A 23,038-nucleotide genomic window follows, 5' to 3' on the forward strand; every position below is an offset into this window, starting at 1 on the left:
TGGAGAAAACATTGCTTTAAAAATTAGATTTCAATGCTAGTAATTATTTTTTCCAATCTGGGAAGTTTTCTACCCTATTTAAAACTTGGCCTTTTCAGCATTGTATCCCCTGCATCTAAACCTCATGCCTGGCTCACTGTGAGTTCTCCAGAAACGCAGTTCAGCTGGAATTCCACATCTTTTCAGTTCCTGGCAAATGAGACCTAAAAGAGTAATGGAAAGCGGCACCCTGGGAAGGTTGTTGATGCTCAATCTGTGTGCTCTTATGCATACGAAGGACACGCAGATGCCTTCAACACAGTATATTCCAAACCAAACTATCATAGTTTAATCAACTCTCTGCACACCTGTCCTTTCCAACCCAATTCACTTCCCCAAGTCAGGCTTCTCTCATACAGTAGCCATTGATTTAACCCTTCCAATGCTCTCACTTGCTCCCTCTCCTCCATACTTATTATGAGGCTGCCTGTCCCCTCCAGGAAGTCACATCTCTCCTGTCCCTCCCTGACCATGCAGTGTCTCTGAAACCCTTCGGTGGATCCCCATCACCCATAACACAAAACCAAACAACTTTCACTTGACACACAGAACCCTCCATAATGCAGCCACTGGCTATCTTTTTTAACTTTATTGCTTGCTACCTTGGTTAACCATCTATCCCAGTTGGCCTGGGACTAAGGAGATGGCCAGGATGTGAGACTTTCAGTGCTAAAACTAAGAAAGTCTGAGGCAAACTGACACAAGTTGCTTTTGACTCCAGCGCAGCTCCCTACACACCCTCAGCTATTTCCCCACCCACAGTGTTGTTTTGTGCTGTCCATTCTGCCCAGATCCTTTCTGTCATCCAGCCTTTTACTGGGCTAATTCTCATTTATGCTCCTAGACTGGGCTGAGGAGGTGCCTGAGGCTGGACACCTCTCTTGCCTTTATGCTGGCAGACCCATGGGCGAGCTCAGGGCCTCTCCTCTGTCCCCGTAGAGCACTTGGGATGCGACTATCACAGCCAGGTCACTGCATTGAACATTTCTCCTTGTGTGTCTGCCTCTCACACAGGATGGTAAGCTCTCAAGGCCGGGACCTGTGTCTTACTCCTCTTGTATCCGCAGAGTTCAGCCCAACACCAGGCACGTAGGAGGAGGTTAATCAATGATTGATGGAATCAGTTATTCAGGAACCCCAAGCATAATCCTTTGTGGGAAAAAATGTCATTGCTAATTTAGGAATCAATCCTAATCCTAATCAGTCCTTTAGCCATTTTGAATACAGGTACCTTCCAGTTTAGCTTTTCAGATGCAGTTTCCATGAGGAAACTGACCCAGAATTGACCAATAGCCCTGGAATAACTTCTGTGTCATCAGACGACAATGATTAATTTTGGAAATGTGTTACCAGATACTTAATTTACTGCAAGTTCATTTTGGAAATGAGATATTTAACAAAATATGCTTTAAATTTGACCATAATAACACATTCTTGTCATTCTACAGGGATTACTATAAGCTTAAATGATGTAATAAATTTAAAGGTGCTTCAAAACATTTCAGCACTGATATGAACATAATACATTACTATGAAGGTCATTTTTATCTTCATGATTAATGTGGTGTGGTCTCCTGATACATCCCACAGAAAACTGAGAATCTGAGGAAGTAGAAAATGGATATAGTTTTGCCATTTATTAGCATGTGGCTCAGGCAAGTAATGTCACTGTTCTGAGGCTCCATTTCTATCAAAAACAAATGAGGACCATAATATCTACCACATAGGGCCAAAATCAATGAGCTAATGTACGAAGAAAGCCTAGAGTTCCAAAGGAGAATGGCGTTGGTGATGATGGTAGTGTTGGACAGAGATGGTGTTGATATGATTGTGATGGTGATGGTGACGGTAATGACGATGGTGTTGATGATAGTGATGGTGATGATAGTGTTGGTGATGAAGATGGTGTTGGAATGGGGATGGTGTTGGTGGTGGTGATAGTGATCGAGTTGGAATAGTGGTGGGGTTAGGATAGTGATAGTGTTGAGATGAGGACAGTGTTGGTGATGGTAGTGATGGTGATGATAGTGTCGGAATGGGGATGGTGTTGGTGGTGGTGATAGTGATTGAGTTGGAATAGTGGTGGGGTTAGGATAGTGATAGTGTTGAGATGAGGGCAGTGTTGGTGATGGTAGTGATGGTGATGATAGTGTTGGAATGGGGATGGTGTTGGTGGTGGTGATAGTGATTGAGTTGGAATAGTGGTGGGGTTAGGATAGTGATAGTGTTGAGATGAGGGCAGTGTTGGTGATGGTATTGATGATGGTGATGATAGTGTTGGAATGGGGATGATTATGGTGATTATGATAGTGTCAGTGATGGGGATGGTGTTGGAGATGATGATGGTGACGATGATGGTGATAAGATGGGGATGGGGATGGTGATAATGAAGGTGCTGGGATGGGAATGGTGATGGTGATGGGGGTGTTGGGTAATGGGAATGGTATTGGTTATTATGACAGTGGTGATAATGATGGTGATGATGATGGTTCTGGTGATGATGTTGTTTATGGTGATGGTGTTAGGATGGTGCGTTTGAAAGCTGACAGAGTGAAGTGCCATAACTTGGCTTAGTGCGTTGCTCACAAGGAAAGCATTTAGTAAATTTCTTTTGACTGAATGAGTGGAATAAGTGGCTTTGGGAGGCCTTTTACTCTACTACACTTTGTCTCAATATTAAATTCAGCAGCCAATGATATCAGAACCCAAACTGTATTTACATAAATGTGAAGGAGAGACTGGCTTTCTGGGGACTGACATTTTTGCTTGATACTGATTAACTTATATATTTCAACTGAAATCTGGTTTCAAATGTTTGAGATTTTGAATGTTTTGCCTTCTCTTTTTTCCTTTGCCCACGTATGATCTCAGTTTGCTTTGTGACCCCTGTTGAGCAACGCAGAGGACTTTCCAGCTGTGGCCTAGGGCCGATGCTCTAGTCCCTCCGTGCCTGACTGCACTTGAATGTAAGACAGAGCTGATCATGAAGAATACTCTCCTTTCCCGTAAGCACCACTTTGGAGCAATGACTAGAAGAAAGGTCCAAGCTCAGCTCTAAAATTAAAATTAGCCATGTTTCATCAAATGTAGACTTTGGCAAAGAAACCATTTCTGCCTCATAGTTAAACTCTGAGTGTAAACAAAGAAGTCACCAAAGACATGTGACTCCTTCTTGGCCAGACAATAGGGGTCACTGCCCATGTCTCTGAGTCAGAGGTAGTATCCATTCCTCCGCCAGCTGGTTCTTCCCAACCAAACACCCACACTGCAACTTAATGATTAGCCATTATTCTTTCTTTCCTCCTCCTCTAACCAGCCCTCCGTAGCAATGTCCAGGCTCATTCCACAGATGTTTGTGTGAGAACAGATCTATGTTAAATCCAGATGAGAAAAATGCCTGAAAAGGAGGAAATGATTTAGTTTAACAACAGAGGACTTAAGTGCAAGCAGATTGACATTAGTTTGTGCCTAGAAATTATGACACATCTGCAATCCCACAGAGGAATTGTGCTAAATGGGCCCACACAGCAGGAGCACTGGCCTGAAAAACAGCCTCATAACATGGAATCTGCTCCCAGATACAGAATAAGTTATGTGTTTTTTTAAGAATGCGATCTCGTTGCACACATAGAAGCATTTGTGTTATCAACTCACTTCCTCAAAAATGCTTGTTATTGGCATAATTTAAATTAAGACCATCAAACTAAGCTCCAGAAAGAGCACAGTGTTGTAACTAAGGAGAAGAGACAATATACTCTCAGAAATTATTATTATTATTATTATTATTATTATTATTATTTTGAAACAGGTCTCTGTCACCTGGGCTGGAGTGCAGTGGCATGATCTCGGCTCACTGCAACCTCTACCTCCTGGATTCAAGCGATTCTCCTGCCTCAGCCTCCCAAGCAACTGGGATTAGAGGCACCCACCACCACACCTGGCTAATTTTTGTATTTTTAGTAGAGATGGGGTTTCACCATGTTGGCCAGGCTGGTCTCAAACACCTGGTCTCAAGTGGTCCACTCTCCTTGGCTTCCCAAAGTGCTGGGATTACAGGCATGAGCCACTGTGCCCAGCCAGAATTCTTCCTTAAGGACCAGAGATATCATAACCAAAGTTACTTACTGAGAAGTGCATCCTCGACTTCAGAAGTGATTTTAGTTTTGATTTTTGGTTACATCTGTCATCTGTTCATTCATTCACTCATGAATTATTTCTCGATCACTTGCTAAGTGCCAGGCTGCATGCTGTTCTACTCACAGTATAATTCTTCTTTAAGCATTTATTACATTCTAAAAGAAATTTCCTGCAAAAAAAAAAAAAAAAAACTATAATATGTGATTAAGTTCAAGTTGCTATCTCTAAGTCTTATTAAGCAAAGCTATAGTATAAACTACAGAAAGATCTATGACCCTCTTCACTTGTCTAGTTAATGACATTAAGTTTGACTATGAGAAAATATTTATTTCCTTTAGTGTAAAAATGTATATCATTTCCTAAAGTGGAGACCATTTTTAGAAGCATTAACAGTCCAGACGTGTTTGGACATTAGCACCATTTTATTTTGCCTGTCAAAATAAAGATTTTATCCCAGCTGTTTTCCTCTTTCCAAACATGTCTTTCCACATGATCTGGGCTGAATTGTGTCTGAGAAGTATAAGTGAAAAACTCACAAATCACTGTGAATCTAAGATCCAAATATGTCATCTTAATTCTGGTAACTTACTCTCTTGAGACTTTGTATGAAGGTGACAATTTCTCAGAGAAAATATCCCCTACCTTAGAAATGAAGGCTATCGGGGTGTCAATCACTGAAACATGACTGAAAACAGCAACGCAAAGAGATTTTTAACTCCTGAATTGTCACGTGTCTGGAGCAGATGTGCCAGAACTGGTGCACACATACATTGCTGGTGGTCCTGGACATTGATGCGATCCTTTGGGAACACCATTCACATTTCACAAGTCACAAAAGTCTTACTTCGTGTTGGATCAGTAATCTCAGTCCTGGGAAAATGCCTTTGGAAACAGCATCTTTAGTGTTGGAAGCAATATTGTCACAAAGATATGTAATCCAGACAGCAGCCAAGGCATTGCTGCTGCTTGAGGAGATCTGATTAGCATTCATTGAGCTCTTCAGTTCCACCACAGCCTTGCCAGGACTTTGTGCATTTTAAGGAGACGCAGCTTCTCCTGGTCACCTCAGTCCTCAGGCTCTTGCTTCTGCACACATTGACTTCACTGCCATCATGTCCACTATGAAAGGAAACTCAGTGTCTTCGTTGACACATACACCTACACACCTGTGCACACGCACCTATGCTCAGACACCTTTCCAAGCTCACACACCTGTGCTCACACACACACACCTGTGCTCACACACACACGCCTGTGCTCTCTCTCTCTCACACACACACACACACACACACACACTTTTCCAAGCATTCATGAGTGCCGCAGCCACCACAGAAGACTGGCATGGGTGAAAGGAGGCAACGTGAAGAGGGATCCGCAACACAGCAACATGACCAACTCTGCACTGGTCATTGGGCATCTTTCCTTTTTAAAAATATCCTTTGACCACTCACCAGAACACTGAAGAATTTCCACTCAATCCTTTCATTGTGGATTTCTTTTTTCTTTTTTTTTTTTTTTGTCCTTTCCTATCTTGCTCCCTCAACCCTTTCCACCTCCTCCCACTCTGGAAACACTTCTCACATTACTCCAGGACTCACTACCCTGGCAACCACATTCTGCCCCTGGTCCTCCTCTCCACCCCCATCCCGGCATGGGGCTCATCGAGGCGCAAGGCACTTCCATTGATGGGACCCACCTGAAAGCAGCAGTGGTCATAGGGGAAATATATGCTTCCTCTACGACTATCCTATGGACCACTGCTTGTAATTGTGAAATATTGCAAACAAGCCAAATAATCAACAATGCAAATATTTAAAAAGGAATTATGCTAGTGGATGCCTAGGGCTGAGGGGAATAGGACAGCTGGAGGTGATAACTAAGGAGTATGGCTTCTCTTGGAGTGATGAAAATGTTCTGATATTGTGGTGATAGTTGCACAACTCCGTGATTATCCTAAAAACCACTGAAGTGCATACTTTAAATGGGTGAATTATATGGCATGTCAATTATATCTCAACAGTTGCAGTGAGCCGGGATCACGCCACTGCGCTCCAGCCCAGGTCACAGAGGCAGGCCTTGTCTCAAAATAACATTATACCTCAATAAGGCTGTTACCAAAAATACTTATGCTATATTCTCATGATGAAATATTACACAACAAATAAAGTGTGGAATTGTGACGATCCTGTCTATCTCCCCCCTCATGGTGGTCTGTGCTTTGATCTGCATGTTTGGGTCTTGCCTTTCCTATTTAACACCTGGCTTCTACACTTACCCCTTCATCTTTTGGACTCAGCTTCTGTTACCACTTCTTCTGTCATTGGATCCCACTCTTGGCTTTTGCAATGACTTCTGCACTGAAATACTTGGTCTTGAAATCTATGAATATTTGGATTTGGTTTCTGTTCTGGACCATTTTTTTGACTTGTGCAACCAACTTAAACATCAGCTTTCCATAAGAGCCACGCTGCATCCCACCATCATCTCTAGGAAGCATCCCTGTCCCACCCACAACCAGGTTAGGGCAAGCCCAGACAGGTGCTCAGGGCACAGCATTTAAGGAGGTGCTCACTCCCAGGCCCTTACAAATGTAGGCTCAGCTCTGAGAGTGAATGCTTCCTTAAGAGAGGCTTTCAGGTTGGAAAAATTTAAAGAGGCACTCACTCTCAGGAGCAGATCTTGCATTTGTGAGAGCCTAAGAGTGAGTGCTTCCTTAAATGTTGTGCCCAGAGTGCCTCCCTTGACTCACCTGGTCCCTGCCCTGCTGACACCAGGTAACCCAGAGGTGATAAAATCAGACACTAGACTAGCAGGGTGTGTGTTTGTGCTCAATTAATGATTTTTATTTCTTCATTAACTTTGTCATAATAGTTTTTCCAGCTAATATTTAACAAGTAACAATTATGCCCAATAAGTTTCACTTTTCTTTTCAAGACTCCAAATTTAATTCTAGTCCATTGAGCAAAATTCACCTGGAGGCCATAGGAACAGAGTATGCTCAGCAGCACACACATTCCGTTTTCCCTGTAATAAACATTCAAGAAGCAGGTAGGATCCTCAGGGCATTCCTTAAGAGTGTGCCTCTCCTGCTGGGGCCGTTGGAGAAATATTGAAATGCCTTCCTGCACCCCCGCCATAATCACAAAAACTGAATTCACCTATACTTTATACCAGGAAATGAACTCACTTCCTTTGGGGGAACAGTCTCTGTTCCATTCTGCATGGTTCTGGTGTCATTTGCTATGTAGTAACCACCCCACAAGTTCTTCTTGCCCACTGCACAGATAGAGCTGATTTATCAAGACAGGGGAATTGCAATAGAGAACGAGTTTAATACACATAGAGCCAGCTAAATGGGAGACCAGAGTTGTATTATTACCCAAATCAGCCTCCCCGAAAATCTGGAGGCTGAATTTTTTAAAGATCGTTTGGCAGGCAAGGCCTAGGGAAAGGGGAAGACTGATTGTTGGGTCAGAGATGGAATCACAGGGGTTAAAGCTGTCCTCTTGCACTGAGTCCATTCCTGGGTGGGGTCCACAAGGCCAGGTGAGTTTACTGGTCTGGGTGCTGCCAGCTGGTCCACTGGAATGCAGGATCTGAAAAATACCTTCCACACCAATCTCAGCTTTCACAATGGTAACGTTATCTACAGGAGCAACTAGGGAGGTTAGGAATCTTGTGGGTTGTGGCTGTGTAACTCCTGAGCCATAATTTCTAATCTTGTGGCTAATTTGTTAGTTTTACAAAGGCAATCTGGTGACCTTGCCTGGTCACCAGACCTTGTTTTGGGGAGGGGCTGTTATCATCTTTGTTTCAAAGTTGAACTATAAACTAAATTCCTCCCAAAGTTACTTTGGCCTATGCCCAGGAATGAACAAGGGCCGCTTGGAGGTTAGAAGCAAGATGGAGTCGGTTAGGTCAGATTTCTCTCAGTCACAATTTTTGCAAAGGCAGCTTCCGTCTCATCCACCCCTGGCTTCCAGGATGTCATGTGGCCAGGTCTGGCCGGTCGTGACTCCTTAAACCCTCTCCAGTGAGTAGGCACAGGCGTCAGCAGAACCAACAGGTATCCTGCATGAAAACTGACATATGCACACGACCGGGAACGGGTAGCCTCCCACCCTGCAGGGTTCTCAAGCTAGAAAGACCTCATAAACCGGCAGCTGCCAACGGCCATTCTTGCTGCCATGGCTGGAGAATCAAATCACTGCTGAGAACAGAGCCAAAGGACAGGGGTAGACACAGAGCCCTGAGGATGGTACTTCAGTGCCTGGATTCGGCTATGTCTGAAATCTGGCAACCTAGACTTTTCCATCATGAGTCAATTATGCTTCAGGGGAGGAACATTTGTTTGTTTTGTTTTGCTTGAGGTAGTCTGAATGTATTTCGATCAGTTGTAATTAAGAGAGTCTAGACTAATAAAGCCAAGATCCACTTATTCATTCAGTATTCTCTTTTGTCTTTCTTGCCTTCTTCATTTTCTTTTCTTCCTGCCTCCTGCATTCTCACCTTCATCAACATTCTCTTTCCTTCCCAAAAGTACCCAGGCCAGGCCTGCCACTGCAGACCATGCCTACGATTACCTAATTTTTTCCCAAAGGGATCATTTAGAACATCTGGCTTCAGACCTGGGATTCTGAATTCACCTTATTACAATGTGGAAACTAGCCTGTTTATTTCCTCTGGGTGAATAAAATCTCTACTGCCTCACTTTATCAGAGACAACATCAGCCACTGACAGTACATGCTCAAGGGTCTCAAGGTTGTAGCGGCACAATGACTGTAAGGATGTAGGTTTTCCTCAACCAGTATACACCTAGGCTAATGGTAAGGACTTGTTTATTCACTGAAAACATGCTGGGCAGAGGTATCTGATTCAGTATGAGTGTAAATAGAAACAACGTATATATCCCAAGCTTCTTCTGTAATTTTGTTTCTTTCTTTCCTCTCTTTCCTCCTTCCTTCCTTCATTTCTGTCTCTCTCTCTCTCTTTCTCTCTCTCTCTCTCTCTCTCTCTCTCTCTCCTTTCTTTCTTTCCACAAAGTCTCGTGCCTTCCACCCAGGCTGGAGTGCAGTGGAGTGATCTAGGCTCACTGCAACCTCTGCCTCCCAGGCTCAAGCAATTCTCAGCCTCCTAAGTAGCTGGAGCTACAGGCGTGCACTGCCGCACCTGGCTAACATTTTTTTTGTGTTTTTGGTAAAGACGGGATTTTGCCATGTTGGCCAGGCTGGTCTCGAACTCTTGGCCTTAAGTGATCCACCCTCCTCTGCCTCCCAAGGTGCTGGGATTACAGGCATGAGCCACTGCGGCCGGCCTCTTATAGTTTTTTGTATCTTCAAGATTTTTCAGTAGATTAAATATACAGTTGCTTGCTTCACTAGATGCAGTGTAAAGATACACAGATACATAGATTATTGGGGAAGTAGAAATAAATACTAAATGCTTACAATGAAAGTTTGAAGAGCCAGATTAGCAAGTCTTCTTATTTAATGATATCTAGCAAAAGTGGACATGCTTAGAGATCTGTGAAAATTCTTTCCTCTTTAGATATGTAATAGACTTTCTAAAGAAATAGCAAAGTTGTTTAAGCACAACATTTCAGACCACACAGTCTTGGAATTTAAATATTCATCATCAGGCTGGGTGCAGTGGTTCACACCTGTAATCCCAGTACTTTGGGAGGCCAGGGTGGGAGGATCGCTTGAGGCCCAGGAGATTGAGACACCTGGGCACCGTGGTGAAATCTCATCTCTACAAAAAATACAAAAATTAGTTGGGCATGGTAGCACATGCCTGTAATCCCAGCTACTCGGGAGGCTGAGGTGGGAGATCACCTGAGCCTGGGAAGTAGAGGCTGCAGTGAGCCCTGATCATGCCACCACACTCCAGCCTGGGCAACGGGCTAGAGACTCTGTCTCCAAAAATTTTTTTAATCAAAAATAAAAATAATAAAAATTCATCATCAAAGTAGTCATGGAGATAATGAAAGATGGTAAACATCTGAGAGAAGGGAGTGGACACACCATTCCATGGGAACTCACCACGGTGGATCTCTGGAGAGGACAGTGAGCACAAGGTCAGCTGGGAGGCAAGACTTGGACAAACAACTTTTCATGTCACCAATTGGGGGACAATGACTAAGACTGTGCAGCTGAAGGAAATGTGAGACGAGGAGGAGGCAGAGGGATTTGTGATTCCACATCAAAGTCAGGACAAGGAAAGTTTGTGAATGACCTGGAACACCAAGCAAAGAAGTATGGACTTTATTCCTTTTGGAGAAGTGGGTGGGAGGTGTCACTGGAGATTTTGGGTCCTGGTCTGATGCATGAAAAATGATGTTTCAGGGAGATAAACCTGGCTGCAGTGTGCACTAGATGACAGGTGGACAAGAAATCACGGGGGACTCATCAGAACTCATCAGAATGGCACAATGGAGTCACCAGGAGCAGCTGTGGCAAGGCCTCTTGAGGCAGGGACCCTCGGGCTCTGTGGACATGACTTGGTTTGTGAAAGAGACAGGAATCCTTCCGGGGAAGACTTTGTGTTCATGCCCCTGGAGATGGAAAAGGGAACCCAAGAGGGGACAAGGTCTGACTTCCCCAGGCCAACCCCAAGAATCAAGGATCTGGAGCCGCAGACAGAACCCAGAAGGGCTGTGGGGGCCTTTGTGAGGATCTGGGCTGGCTTCAGCTGTCAGCTACATTGCCGGAAAAGCAGTGAAACATGCTTAGGGAAGAGTGTCCTCCTCCCGCTGCACTGCACCAGAAGAAATACTAGGTCACATGCAGGCTGACATTTGTACAATGGGGTTAGGCTTTCAGAAAAAGAACACAAAATTTAATATTTTAGATATAAAAATAAATTCTTGTTTTGAATAAGAGGAGAAATTATAATAAATTATAATTGTTAAATAAATAACCAAGAAATAACACAAACGTCACATAACCGAGAATAACAATATTTTAATTAACCAGCTGACACACTTGTATAATGATCTTCTTTTTTCCACATATTTTTAGCTGTATACTCTCACTGCCTTTTAATGTCAACAACTTTATAATATTATTTTCTATAAAAAGCAAGAAACATATTTTTAGCCTTAGTTCTAGCATGGTTGAAGGAAATTAGTTTTTTAATATTGATCATTTATGAAAATTTCTTTCTACTTCACAAAACTTTATTGGTAATATCATGTAAATTTTTTAAGTGTTATTAGGTTTGGGGGAATCTCTATAAAATGTATTTCATACATGAGTTGTAAGAAAGAATTGGGGGCATTTCAGTGTTTCTAGTCTATTAACTTATGCTAAATACCTTTTGAATTGATGACACTTTTTAACCAGCTTATCACCAACGTCTTCATTATAATAATACACTGTGAGTTGATGTTATCTTCATCGGTGTTGGTATTTTGTATCAAATCAGAAAGAAATAAGTTCCCATACAGATATGTCTGGGCAAGGCCATTTCAAGCCAAGGGAAGAGCATAAGGAACATGCTCTTTGCTGAGACAGAGTTCGGCAAAAGCAAGGAATTCAGTTTGACAGAATACAGTTTAAGTAAAGTAACAGTGGATGAGCGAACAAGAAACTGCTGGGATCAAGTAAGGAGGTAGGAAGCTGTGCTAAATACTGGCACATGGCTAACAAAGACCATTATCCTTTTAGTTAAGAAATCAAAGGCCTATTTCTAGACCTAAACACATGAAAGCCACTGCTAAGGTCATTATCGCTGAAATCAGACTGACCAGATTTCCAGCCCTAACTGCCACTAATGAGCTTGTGAACCTTGCTAAGAATCATTTGGCTCTACATGAAAGTGACTGCACACTGCATATATATACATATCACTAAACACAAACTAAACGAATCCACAACCCAGCTTCTCTTTTTTTCTCTTTAGAGGATCCCTAACATTCCCACACTCTCCAACACCCGCCTGATGTGAGGTGAGTGTGGACATAGGAGGCATCTACATGGAAAGAGTCAATGGTATTAACTGTTCCCATTGCCACATCTTAGTTTAGCAAATTTTCTTTTTAAAAAAATTTCCCCTTTATTGCCAGGCGTGGTGGCTCACGCCTGTAATCTCAGCACTTTGGAAGGCCGAGGTGGGTGGATCACGAGTTCAGGAGTTCAAGACCAGCCTGACCATTATGGTGAAACCCTGTCTCCACTAAAAATACAAAAATTAGCCAGGCACGGTGGCAGGTGCCTGTAATCCCAGTTATTAGGGAGGCTGAGGAAAGAGAATCGCTTGAACCTGCACCGCAGAGGTTGCAGTGAGCCAAGACCATGCAACTGCACTCCAGCCTGGGTGACAGAGTGAGACTGTTTCAAAAAAAAAAAAATTCGTTTTATTTTATTTTTTAGAGATAGAGTCTCACTCTGTCACCCAGGCTGGAGTGCAGTGGCATGATCCTGGATCCCTGCAGCCACGAAATCCTGGCCTCAAGCCATCTTCCCACCTTATACTCCCAAGTAGCTGGGACTACAGGTATGTGCCACCGTGTCTAGCTAATTTTTTTGTTTGTTTGTTTAATATTTTCTAGAGCCAAGGTTTCAATATGTTTCTCAGGCTGGCCTTGAATTCCTGGCCTCAAATGATCCTCCCATCTCAGCCTCCCAAAGCACTAGGATTACAAGCATAAGCCACCACACCTGGTCTAGTTTAGCAAATTTTCAAATTTGTATGACCATGTGAACGCAAAGCTAGGGCCCCTCCGGGATCTTAGGAGGGGATCCAGGCAAGCAAAGCTCAGTTTCAATAGCATCACTATGAAGCCACCTCTGGTCCCACAGCTTTACCTGCCAAACATGAAAGAAGGTCTACAGCTGAGAGCCATGAGGTAGGGGGAACAGATTCACACAAAAAATATTTGATTCACTCACTGGAGACCACCTGAATCCTGGAAGGGGCCTGTGCCTGGGCTGTAGTTCTGGGTAATGCAGGTGTAGGCAACAAGACAGTGACAGGTTAAGTTACCACCGTGGATGTGAAACTCGTAGAAATTCAAGACAAGATCACAGTAATCCCAGTGATGACAAATGAGAGTCTGGTGCATCATTTTCACAAAGAAGTATCTGAAAGACATAGTGCAAAAACACAGTGCAAAGAAAAATATTGACAAGACCTTATGACTGGGTGGAGAGCAAGAAGAGAGGAATGTTTCCTACCTGGGAACTTGGAGAGGATGATGGCTTCACTACCAACAGCTTGACGCTCCTAGCATTAACAGCTCAGGTTTCTCCCTGCATGGTCAGTATCACCATTGCCAGTAATTTAGGAGAGAAGTGGGGAGTGGAGTTATTTCTGCCCAAAGCCCACAAGGTCAGGAGAGTTCCATGGTACTGGCTGAAATAAGAAAACTCAGAAGAAGCCATGTGTGAGAACGGAGGTAGCTGCTGCAGAGACGGAAGCAAGGGAGCTCTGGGTGGAGTCAGCAGAGAGCTCACCAGGAAACCAGGACTGATGCCTGAACAGCCAGGAATGTGACACAAGCCACTCACGAAGGCCTCAGATGAAGTGGAGCTCCCCAAGTACTGTTCCCTGTACAGTATCTGTCAGAGTTTATTCAGTTCCAAGTAGCAGAAACCAACAGTGCTCAACTTGGCTTGAAGAATTGATGTAATTCTTGCTCTAAGAAAAATGCAGTTCAGGTTTCCGTTCTGCTTCTCAGCCATCTCCTTCTCCTCTTCTCCATATTCTGGCTTCATCCTCAGGCCAGCTTCCCTCAGGATAGAAGATGGCTGCCCTTGGGATAGAAGATGGCTGCCCTTGGGATAGAAGATGGCTGCCCTCACAAGATAAAATGGTTACCCTCATGAATCAGCTGCCAGCGACAACCAAGGCCCCAACTTCTCCGTTCACATCCAAAGGATATGCTCCCCCAACACAAACACACACACTCACAACCGTCCAGGAATTGGAAGATCCAGACTAACACATTAAAAATTATTTTCTTTATATTTAGACATTATAATTATCTGTGCAATATTAATACATTGTTTTTGAAAGTCAAGACTAAAAAAATAATACAACAATGATAATAGCTAACAATTATTGAACATGTATCCTATATACTAGCTGTTGGTGATTTCCTGCATTAATCCCTTCATCCCTAAGGGGTAGATGATACTGTTAACCCCACTTTACAAATGAGAAAACTGAGAGAGAAGTTAAGGAATGTGCCCAGGGTCCCACACAGGTAAGTAGAGAAGCCAGGACTTGAACCCAAGGAGGCACCCACATGACCTCCACACAAAACCTCTGTTTCCTTGCTCTGACTTGCATGTGTTCCTTCCAGCCTTTTGTTGATTTGCAGGGTTGGTTCCCAGCCAGCTATTCTCAAGTAGGCTATTCTCTCTTATTCTGAATCCACTGTGCCCTATTTATATCCATAGAACTTTCATATGTTTTCGTTACATATTACCTTTTTGGCCATTTATTTAGAATTTTTCATGATTTCTCATTGCATATTCATTTGCTCTGTTACTCCCTAGCATGCCCCATTCTCAAAGACCTTTTCTGATGGTCCAGAATCCATTCCTCCCTGGCACATGGTAGGTAGGTGCTCGATGACACGGTTCTGAGTGTTATTAGTTGCCATCGTACTGGGTGTAAGATGCTATATCCTCCTTTCATTCGTGTACCATAATTGTCTCCCATGTTGCTCCCCAGTCTTCATAATGATCTGCTTTAATGACCGCACAACAGTCCATGACTATTAAATACTGACATTTAATTAACCATTTCAATATGGATAGAAATCCAGAGCTTCTATTTTTTTGTCATTGTAAGTGACATGAGGAGCATTTCCATGTATATAGCTTTTCCCCTGACAATCAAATTTAAAATTACCTGTGAGCATAGAGATAAAGATAGCAGCCCAGTGTGGCGCTCAGCTGCAGCCCCTGTCAGCCTCCCTCTGCAGTCAGCTTGCCCTGCTGTACACACTCCTCCCCGGTTGTCCCTCACATTTCCCGGATGCAAGGCTATTAGTGGCCCATCATGAGGCAGCCAACTTCATACTCAATGCCAGGCCTCCTCGACCCAAACATGTGGTGCCTGGTTTTACACAGGGCATTGTTTATGGCTACTGTTTCCTGTTAGATCCTGGCCTCTGCCAGGTATCTCCATACACCACCCTCTTTCCTCTTGTTCTCCCTTTGCTTCCACCCCCAGCCAGCCTCTAACATCTTAAATTCCCAGTAGCACAGTTGAGTCTCAACTCCACACACATATGCACACACCTCAGTCTGCGCTACAGGCCCATCTTTACATTTTCCAAAACAGTTTAATGAGTGTTTTGGAAACATTTCATCAAAGGGCTTTAGCTGTAGCCAATTGTGAAATCAGATTTCTTGATTATGAGCAAAGTAGAGGGTATGTTCTCTCTTTCCCTGACAGGCACAAATCCCAGGGCTTCCCTATCTATTTGGCGTCCAAGGTTATCTGAGGTCACGAGCCACAGAGTGAGTCCTGGGAAGGAAGGGCAGTTGCAGTGTACGTAGTGAGCCCTGGAGCCACAGGACTGGCAGTAAGTGCTACAAACTGGTGTGGCCTCAGAGAGGGACCTTGGAGAGGGGCACCAGCAAGTGTGTGCTCAGAGGGCCATGAGACACATAAATCCTCAGAGAAACATCTCCGTAACTGCTCCTCGCACACTGCTTTTACAGGATGTCATTTGCAAGCACTTCAGCAGGCTATAACTCACTGGAGAGCATCTTGCGACCTTTCTCCTCCTCACAATGGAAATTTTTTATTACAGAAGTTATAGTGAATATATACACAAGAAAACCCCAGAGGGAGAGGGAAGGGGTATTTATGTATTTATTTTTGAAATGGAGTTTCACTGTTGTTGCCCAGGCTGGAGTGCAATGGTGCAATCTCGGCTCACGGCAACCTCTGCCTCCTGGGTTCAAGTGATTCTCCTGCCTCAGCCTTCCAAATAGCTGGGATTACAGGCATGCGCCACCACACCCAGCTAATTTTGTATTTTTAGTAGAGACAGGGTTTCTCCATGTTGGCCAGGCTGGTCTCAAACTTCCGACCTCAGGTGATCCGCCCACCTCGGCTTCCCAAAGTGCTGGGATTACAGGTGTGAGCCACCACGCCCACCTGGGAAGGGATATTTATAAGGCAAGAGCACCTCTCCTCTTCTTCCTACTAATTTGGGAAGTAAGAGTCAATATGCAGGTGAAACCCCATCTCTACTAAAAATACAAAATTTAGCCAGGCATGGTGGCGGGCGCCTGTAGTCCCAGCTACTCGGGAGGCTGAGGCAGGAGAATGGCGTGAACCCGGGAGGCGGAGCTTGCAGTGAGCCAAGATCGCGTCACTGCACTCCAGCCTGGGCGACAGAGCAGGACTCCGTCTCAAAAAAAAAAAAAAAAAGAGTCAATATGTATTGAATATTCACAAGATGCTGCCTCTGTCCTATTTCCCCGAGCTGGTGACAGTGCCTGGTTGGTGCATAATCAATTATTGAACGAGCGAGTGAAAGAATTCTCAGACCATGAGGTAAGTTACTAGTGCCCTCTGCATTTTACAGATGAGGGAAGTGGGACTCACAGAAATTAAGTAACAGGCACAAGATTCAACAGCTGGTAAACAGAGAGGCCAGGACACAGTGCAATTTTTATGACTCCAGGGCCCAACCCCTAACACCCCTCCATCCTACCATGATCCTTGCTGTTGACATTTTCAGTACAGTAAACACAGGACCCGAATCCAAGGATTCAACCCATTGTGGTCCAAAAATAGTCAGGGGAAAAATAATAATAATAATAATATGAATTTTAAAAACAATACAACAACCATTTACATGTATTAGGTATAATAAGTAATCTAGAGATGATTGAAGGTTTATGGGAGGATGAGGATAGATTATATGCAAACACTGTGCCATTTTATAGAAGGGACTTGAGCATCGATGAATGTTGGTATCCATAGGGATTCTGGAACCAATGCCTCCTCGGATACACAGAGCTGACAGTCTCCTCAGCATCAGCAGAGGGACTACTGCATATCTCATATTGTAGCAGTTATACTGATTTTTACACAAAAAAGGGGTTCATCTTTGTATTGCAATGGTGAATCAATAATACACATTGTATAATTTCCCACATATTCCACCGAGGAGCTTATATTCCAGCCAATTCTAAACTAAATAATTACACTTAAACCCTTAAAATGTATCCCCCAAAAGTGCTATTCTTTGATTAACACACACATGCTCACTCAATATTAATGGCAGAAGAGAAGAATTGAGAATTCTGCCAATAAACAATGCACACACAGAAAGAGCTAAATAAAGCACCTTAAAACCGTTTTCTAGTATTTGACTTTACTCTTGTGTCTGAGAATTCATTATGATAACAAGTGCAAGTGGATTCTGACTCTAGGGGCTATTTGGTGAGCTGCTTTAATTCATTTTAGAATCCTGTTTCTAAAAATGACCTTCAGAAGACGGTTTCCCGGAGATGACCAAGGGAAGGATCATTTTACAACCTTTCTGGAACATATTTTATGTTCACCACCCCTAACCTGGATGACTGTTTTAAAACAAACAGCCTGGTTGGCTGTCAAATTCCCTTTCCCACTTAGCACCTACAGGAAGAGAACCCCACTACAATACTGAAACCAGGCAGGTCCAGGACTTCGAGTGGTGGAGAAGATATTTGTAAGAAAGGGAAACAAAGCTTGTTTCTAATAAACTGATTGGGTCAAGACACCTGGGAATTGATCATTGGCCTAACGTTTTCCTGAAGCACACCCCAGACGTGCACACTGGGACCACTCGCACAACGCAGCGTTTCTTCTTATAACAAAACCAAAACTCTGCCACTGTCCTTGTTTGATAGAATCCAAGCTAACACATCAGGCATTTGAAGAAACTGAGGTTGTGTCTTCTTCAGGAAGGGGTCGTGGGGTGGATGACATGATGGTGAGTGTGACATTTGCACAGATGCCAGCTCCCCGCTGCATCCTGACCAGCTCCTCAGATAGGGCAGGATTCCAAGGGAGAAATGAGACCAGCAGGGTAAGCAAATCCTTCTCTGGGGTTATCGGGCTCCACCAGGTGGGGTCTCAGGAAGTCTCTAGCATATATGTAAGAGTTATTTACCCTATCAACAATGTGTATAAAAACAAACAAGCACACTTTTCAGAAGAGCTTTTCCTGCACTAAACACCAGCTGATTTGTGGAGCATGATTGGTAGTTGAGCTACTTAATTGGATTCCTCAGAACAGGGTCAGTAAAAATAGATGCAAATCCATAGGGTGACATAGTCACATAAGATTGTGGAAATTGTAACATGACTGGCTCTAGGACACGCACAAATTTTCATATGCAGAGTCCTGAGAAGAGTCATGGTGAAGAAACCCACTTAAGCAATTCCAAAGTTAAATGACAAGGAAGACTGCACTAATGTCCTAAGGCATCGGGTCCTGCAGAACTTGTTTGTTAGCAAAACCACCCCAGATGGAAGACTTGGGTGGCAATTCCAAAGGGCCTTTTCCTGCATTCCTGACTGACCTTAATTGACAGTGACGTTGACATCGCAGGCTTTTCTGGCCATCCAAGTAGTGAATGAACTTGCAGCAAACCTTGGAAAACCTTATGCAATCCTGTGTCAAGAATCTCGTGACAAAGTAAAGAATCCTTTGGGAATGGGCATGTCCACCTCTTAAATTACATACTTGCTGTAAAACAAACTGGCAGAGCTACTGTCTGGTGACCACAAAGGTAATTTGCCTACAACTCAGAATGAAGATTTGTCCCAGAATGAGTTCTTTTTACCAATAGAGAATATTTGCATTCAGAGAATCTGGGCCAGAACTTCCTCATCTCTTTTGAAAGGTATGCTTCCCGAAGCCTCTGGGTTGGCCCTGGTGACTCTCTGCAGAAGAGGAGGGTGAGTTCTTCACTGCAGTTTAAGATGCACCCATCAGGGCCATGACCCGTTCATTATCGCACATGGCCCTTGGCCCAGGACCAAGGCAGAAAGAGGCACAGATTGCTCCCCTCTTCTCTGGGCCTCTTGACAACCCTGAGCTCTACACTGCTGGATATATACATAAATATATATAGTCCCATGTTCTTAAGTCTCACTTTGAAAACTACAACCCTCAAGTGACAACTGGGCAGAGCTCTGGAGAAGATGGGCAGTGACTGGGAGCCCTACTCAGGGACACAGAACCATGAGTGGTGGGTCGCCTCTGTAGGTTAATATTGAGTGTCAACTTGATTGGATTGAAGGATGTCAGACTCCAGGTTCTTCAGCTTTGGGATTCAGACTGGCTTCCTTGCTCCTCAGCTTGCAGACGGCCTATTGTGGGGCCTCACCTTGTGATCGTGTAAGTCAATACTCCTTAATAAACTCCCCTTCATATATACATCTATCCTATCAGTTCCATCCCTCTAGAGAACCCTGACTAATACAGCCTCTTTCTCACTTTTCCTCTTCCCCAGGAGGTCCTGGCCATGCAGTGCCGCGTGGAATCAGGACAGATGACTCATGCTCCAAGAATTCTTCACTTTGCTTAGAAGACCAGCCAAAGAAAGGAAACTCCCTTGCATCTGGCCTCCTTCTTGGGGGAGTGGGGACTGCGGTGCTCTCTCCCCGCCTGGGAGGGGAGGGAATGTTATTCTTTGCAGAGCTGCAGATGTATCTATTTCCTGGGGTTGCTGTTTATTCTGTTAGAGATTGAAAATACTGGGTGAAAATAAAGTTTAACCCAGAAATCTGACTGATAGGATTCTTGGAGGGAAAGGCATGTGAACCGAAAATAGTCCTCAGTATTGAGTCCCAAGGACTTTTACTCCTTTTTTATTTCTTAAACAAAATTTCAATTGGTGGATAATAGTTTATGGACAAGACTTTATGGAAGAAGCATGTGTGATGGTCACAAGTACCTGCAAAGGTCAAAAAGCATGAGTCTTTTATATCCAGCACATAAAAATAGCATAGATGGTTCCAGAAAACTGGCCCTGGTGCCCTATCTGCCATCCCCAAACTAGAGCTTTGAGGTTCGTTCAAGGGAGGAGTCTCACAGATACACGAAAAGAAGGCTACATTGTGACAATGATACAGGATATTAAAGTTAAAAAAAACAAAAAGATAGTTTAGCCCATTCACTTCATTCAATCCCAGACCTCTAGTTTGGAAACTCAAGACAAGAGAAATTGCCACAGAAACTCTGTGCAGGGTGAAATGAGCTCCTTGCTTCCAATTTTCTTGCTTGTCAGTACCCATATCATACCCAGAACCAACGTAGCCACGAGGAACACCACACATGCCTCTGCCTAGCAATGCATCCTGGAAGGCCAATAACCAAACAGGCAGAAATTTTCCAAACAAGATGTTAAGCTGTTGGTAGCTTGAAACAGACCATGGTGAGAGTATTTACATGCCAAAAAAAAAAAATGGCAAACGCTACAGTCATGGCTTTCTGACTTTTTGTTTTGTTTATTGAGACAGAATTTACCAGCCTACCGTTGCCCAGGCTGGAGTAGAATGAAGAATAAGGAAATGGATCTGGCCAAGGGCCCCAAGGGGCTGGACTTTGAGCCAAGTGACCACAGTTTAAAGGACATAAGCAACCCAGCCTTGATTCCATGGTGTCGCCACACCTGCAGATGTGTCCCCTTGGGTAGACAGCAACTATGACCATAGTACAGGTGACGTCAGGGGTGGGTACAGGAACCAAGGCATTCCCTACATGGAGTAAGCTTTGTTAAACAATCCAGTATGTTTTTTGCTGTGTTGTGGGGAATTAAGAGAAGCCTGGGATCATGCTTGGGTGAAGCAGGGCAGGGAAGATCCACCCAGCCTGGAGGAAGCCAACTTTGGTTCAGTAAATGGCATTCATCTGAGAGAGCAGGGGAGGAGTCAGCCGCCAGCTGAGCAACAGGGAAAGAACAAGGACAGACTTGAGGATCAGGCACATCTGGAGGCAGGGTATTCTCAGAAATGGGGAGGAATTGGGGAGTTTCACAATGACAGAAACCTGGTAAAAGATGGGATTTTCTGAAGTCGTGCTGCATAGGGATATAGACTGTCAGTCTTTTGAGCACTGAAAGCTAATATGGCCATCAATGACCAGAGAGCTCATAGATAGCCCGCTGACCAACCAAAAGCATTGGGAGGACCATTATGGTTATGGGGGGAGCTCACTCTGCACCAGGTACTAGTCTGAGAGATTTACATGGAATATCTTTTATTTTTCATAGAAACAGCACAGAAGAAGTATTTGCTTACCCCATTTTATAGATGAGGAAACTGAGGCACAGGGACTTTATTCAGCTACTAGGTAGAAGAGCTAAGATTGGAACTCAGCCAGTAGGACTCAAAACCAACATTCTTAGGATGTCACTTCGGGTCTATTGATCTCTGCTACCCTGAAGCTTCCATCAGCTGGTCACAGACACCCCTCCAGGAGCCACCAGAATGGAGCAACGGTTCTTCCCTCTAACAATCTCTCAGGTATTTGAAGATGACTATTATGCCTCTTGAATTCTGTTATGTTCTCTAGGATACACAGCATTGGTCACTCGCTTCTCTTAGGGTATTGCCTGGACTCTCTGACCCCTCCCCCCACCATGGTGAGTGTGCCTGAAAAATTCAACATCACACTCTGTATGTGCAGGATTAACACAAAGGAAAATGCAAATGATGCATCCTTGGTTCTAGGAGCTAAAGATCGCCACCCTCTATCAAAATATCATCTACATAAAAAACCAACCTACACGTCGCTGTGTTGCTAGGGTTCCATTTTTGTAAAAGGGTTATATAGTCTTATACATGTGCATATTCATAGTTTTTAATATGCACCCCAAAAAAGCTTTCAAAAAGGTAAAGATCTAACTTTCCCCTGCTAGTGCATGTAGGTGTTGGGGCTGCGGGTAGGGACAAGGAATTGAGGAGTCTCACACTTCACACACTTCTATATTGACTGAAGTTTGTATAATATATAGTTACTTTACTATTTTAAGCTTAAGATATGAAATATTAACTTTTAAAAGGCATGCAATGGGCCGGGCGCAGTGGCTCATGCTTGTAACCCCAGCACTTTAGCAGGCCAAGCGGGCAGATCACTTGAGGTCAGAAGTTCAAGACCGGCCTGGCCAAAATGGCGAAACCCCTTCTCTACTAAAAATGCAAAAATTAATGGTGGTGAAAGCCTGTAATCCCAGCTACTCAGGATGCTGAGGTGGGAGAATCACTTGAACCTGGGAGGCAGAGGTTGCAATGAGCCGAGATGGCGCCATTGCACTCCAGCCTTGGCAACAGAGTGAAACTCCATTCCCGCCCCCACCCCCTCCCCCCAGAAAAAATAATGATTTTTTTCCAAAAAAAATAGCTATTTAGGTGCTCTATTTTGTAACACTACAGTAGAATCTGCAAGAAAACAAGCACTCAGCTAATAACTTTATTCTGAATGTAATGTTCAAGTTAGAATTCAACTCACATTTTCTCCCCAAAAGGACATGAACATTTGAAATTTATGCTTCCCAGCTCCTACAGTGGTGTTCGGCAGCCAAGCAGTTTTTCACAGATGCCATGGGTAGGGTTCAATGGTCACTGTACTCTTTACTTAGTGAGGGTGGCATTGTCATATTTCACCAGGCATGGCCAGGTTGCTGGGATGACACATCCAGCCGCTCTGAGCTTTGTTTGACCTTCTCCCAGCCTGCAGCCTTAAGAGGGAAATCAGACCAACCTATGACTTCTACAAACCCCTTCCACGGTGGCACCGTGCACTCACTTGGCCTCCTTATCTGGTTCTGAGGATGCTCAAAGGTGTTATGACTCCCACTGAACAGAACCTCGCATGAGAGGAGAGCACAAAGCCTC

General features: G+C 43.9%; 1 long non-coding RNA gene across 5 annotated transcripts in view, besides 1 other annotated feature; it reads right to left on the reverse strand.

Moving 5' to 3' along the window:
* The window catches only part of LOC101927896 (uncharacterized), a 95,712-nt gene that overhangs the window by 27,591 nt on the left and 45,083 nt on the right, over positions 1-23,038 (reverse strand). For 2 of the 5 annotated variants that reach the window (XR_007088125.1, XR_007088128.1), the window contains exons 3-6: positions 13,354-13,970; positions 13,069-13,260; positions 4,165-4,345; positions 1,662-3,436 (exon numbers count right to left, since the gene is read on the reverse strand). This is a non-coding gene — a long non-coding RNA (uncharacterized LOC101927896). Of the gene's footprint in view, positions 1-1,661; positions 3,437-4,164; positions 4,346-13,068; positions 13,261-13,353; positions 13,971-23,038 lie in introns of those variants that run through there. The other 3 variants (XR_002959457.2, XR_007088127.1, XR_007088126.1) reach the window with 3 other exon arrangements.
* Positions 13,255-14,454: an enhancer, noted in NCBI's record as "CDK7 strongly-dependent group 2 enhancer chr2:235742667-235743866 (GRCh37/hg19 assembly coordinates)". NCBI's record gives its function as "activates an origin of replication core promoter dependent on BRD2, BRD4, P300/CBP, MED14 and CDK7 cofactors, with strong dependence on CDK7, by STARR-seq in HCT116 cells {active_cell/tissue: HCT116}" and the evidence as "EXISTENCE:reporter gene assay evidence [ECO:0000049][PMID:35650434]".

The sequence above is a fragment of the Homo sapiens genome, chromosome 2, assembly GCF_000001405.40.
Source record: "Homo sapiens chromosome 2, GRCh38.p14 Primary Assembly".
NCBI lineage: Eukaryota > Metazoa > Chordata > Mammalia > Primates > Hominidae > Homo > Homo sapiens.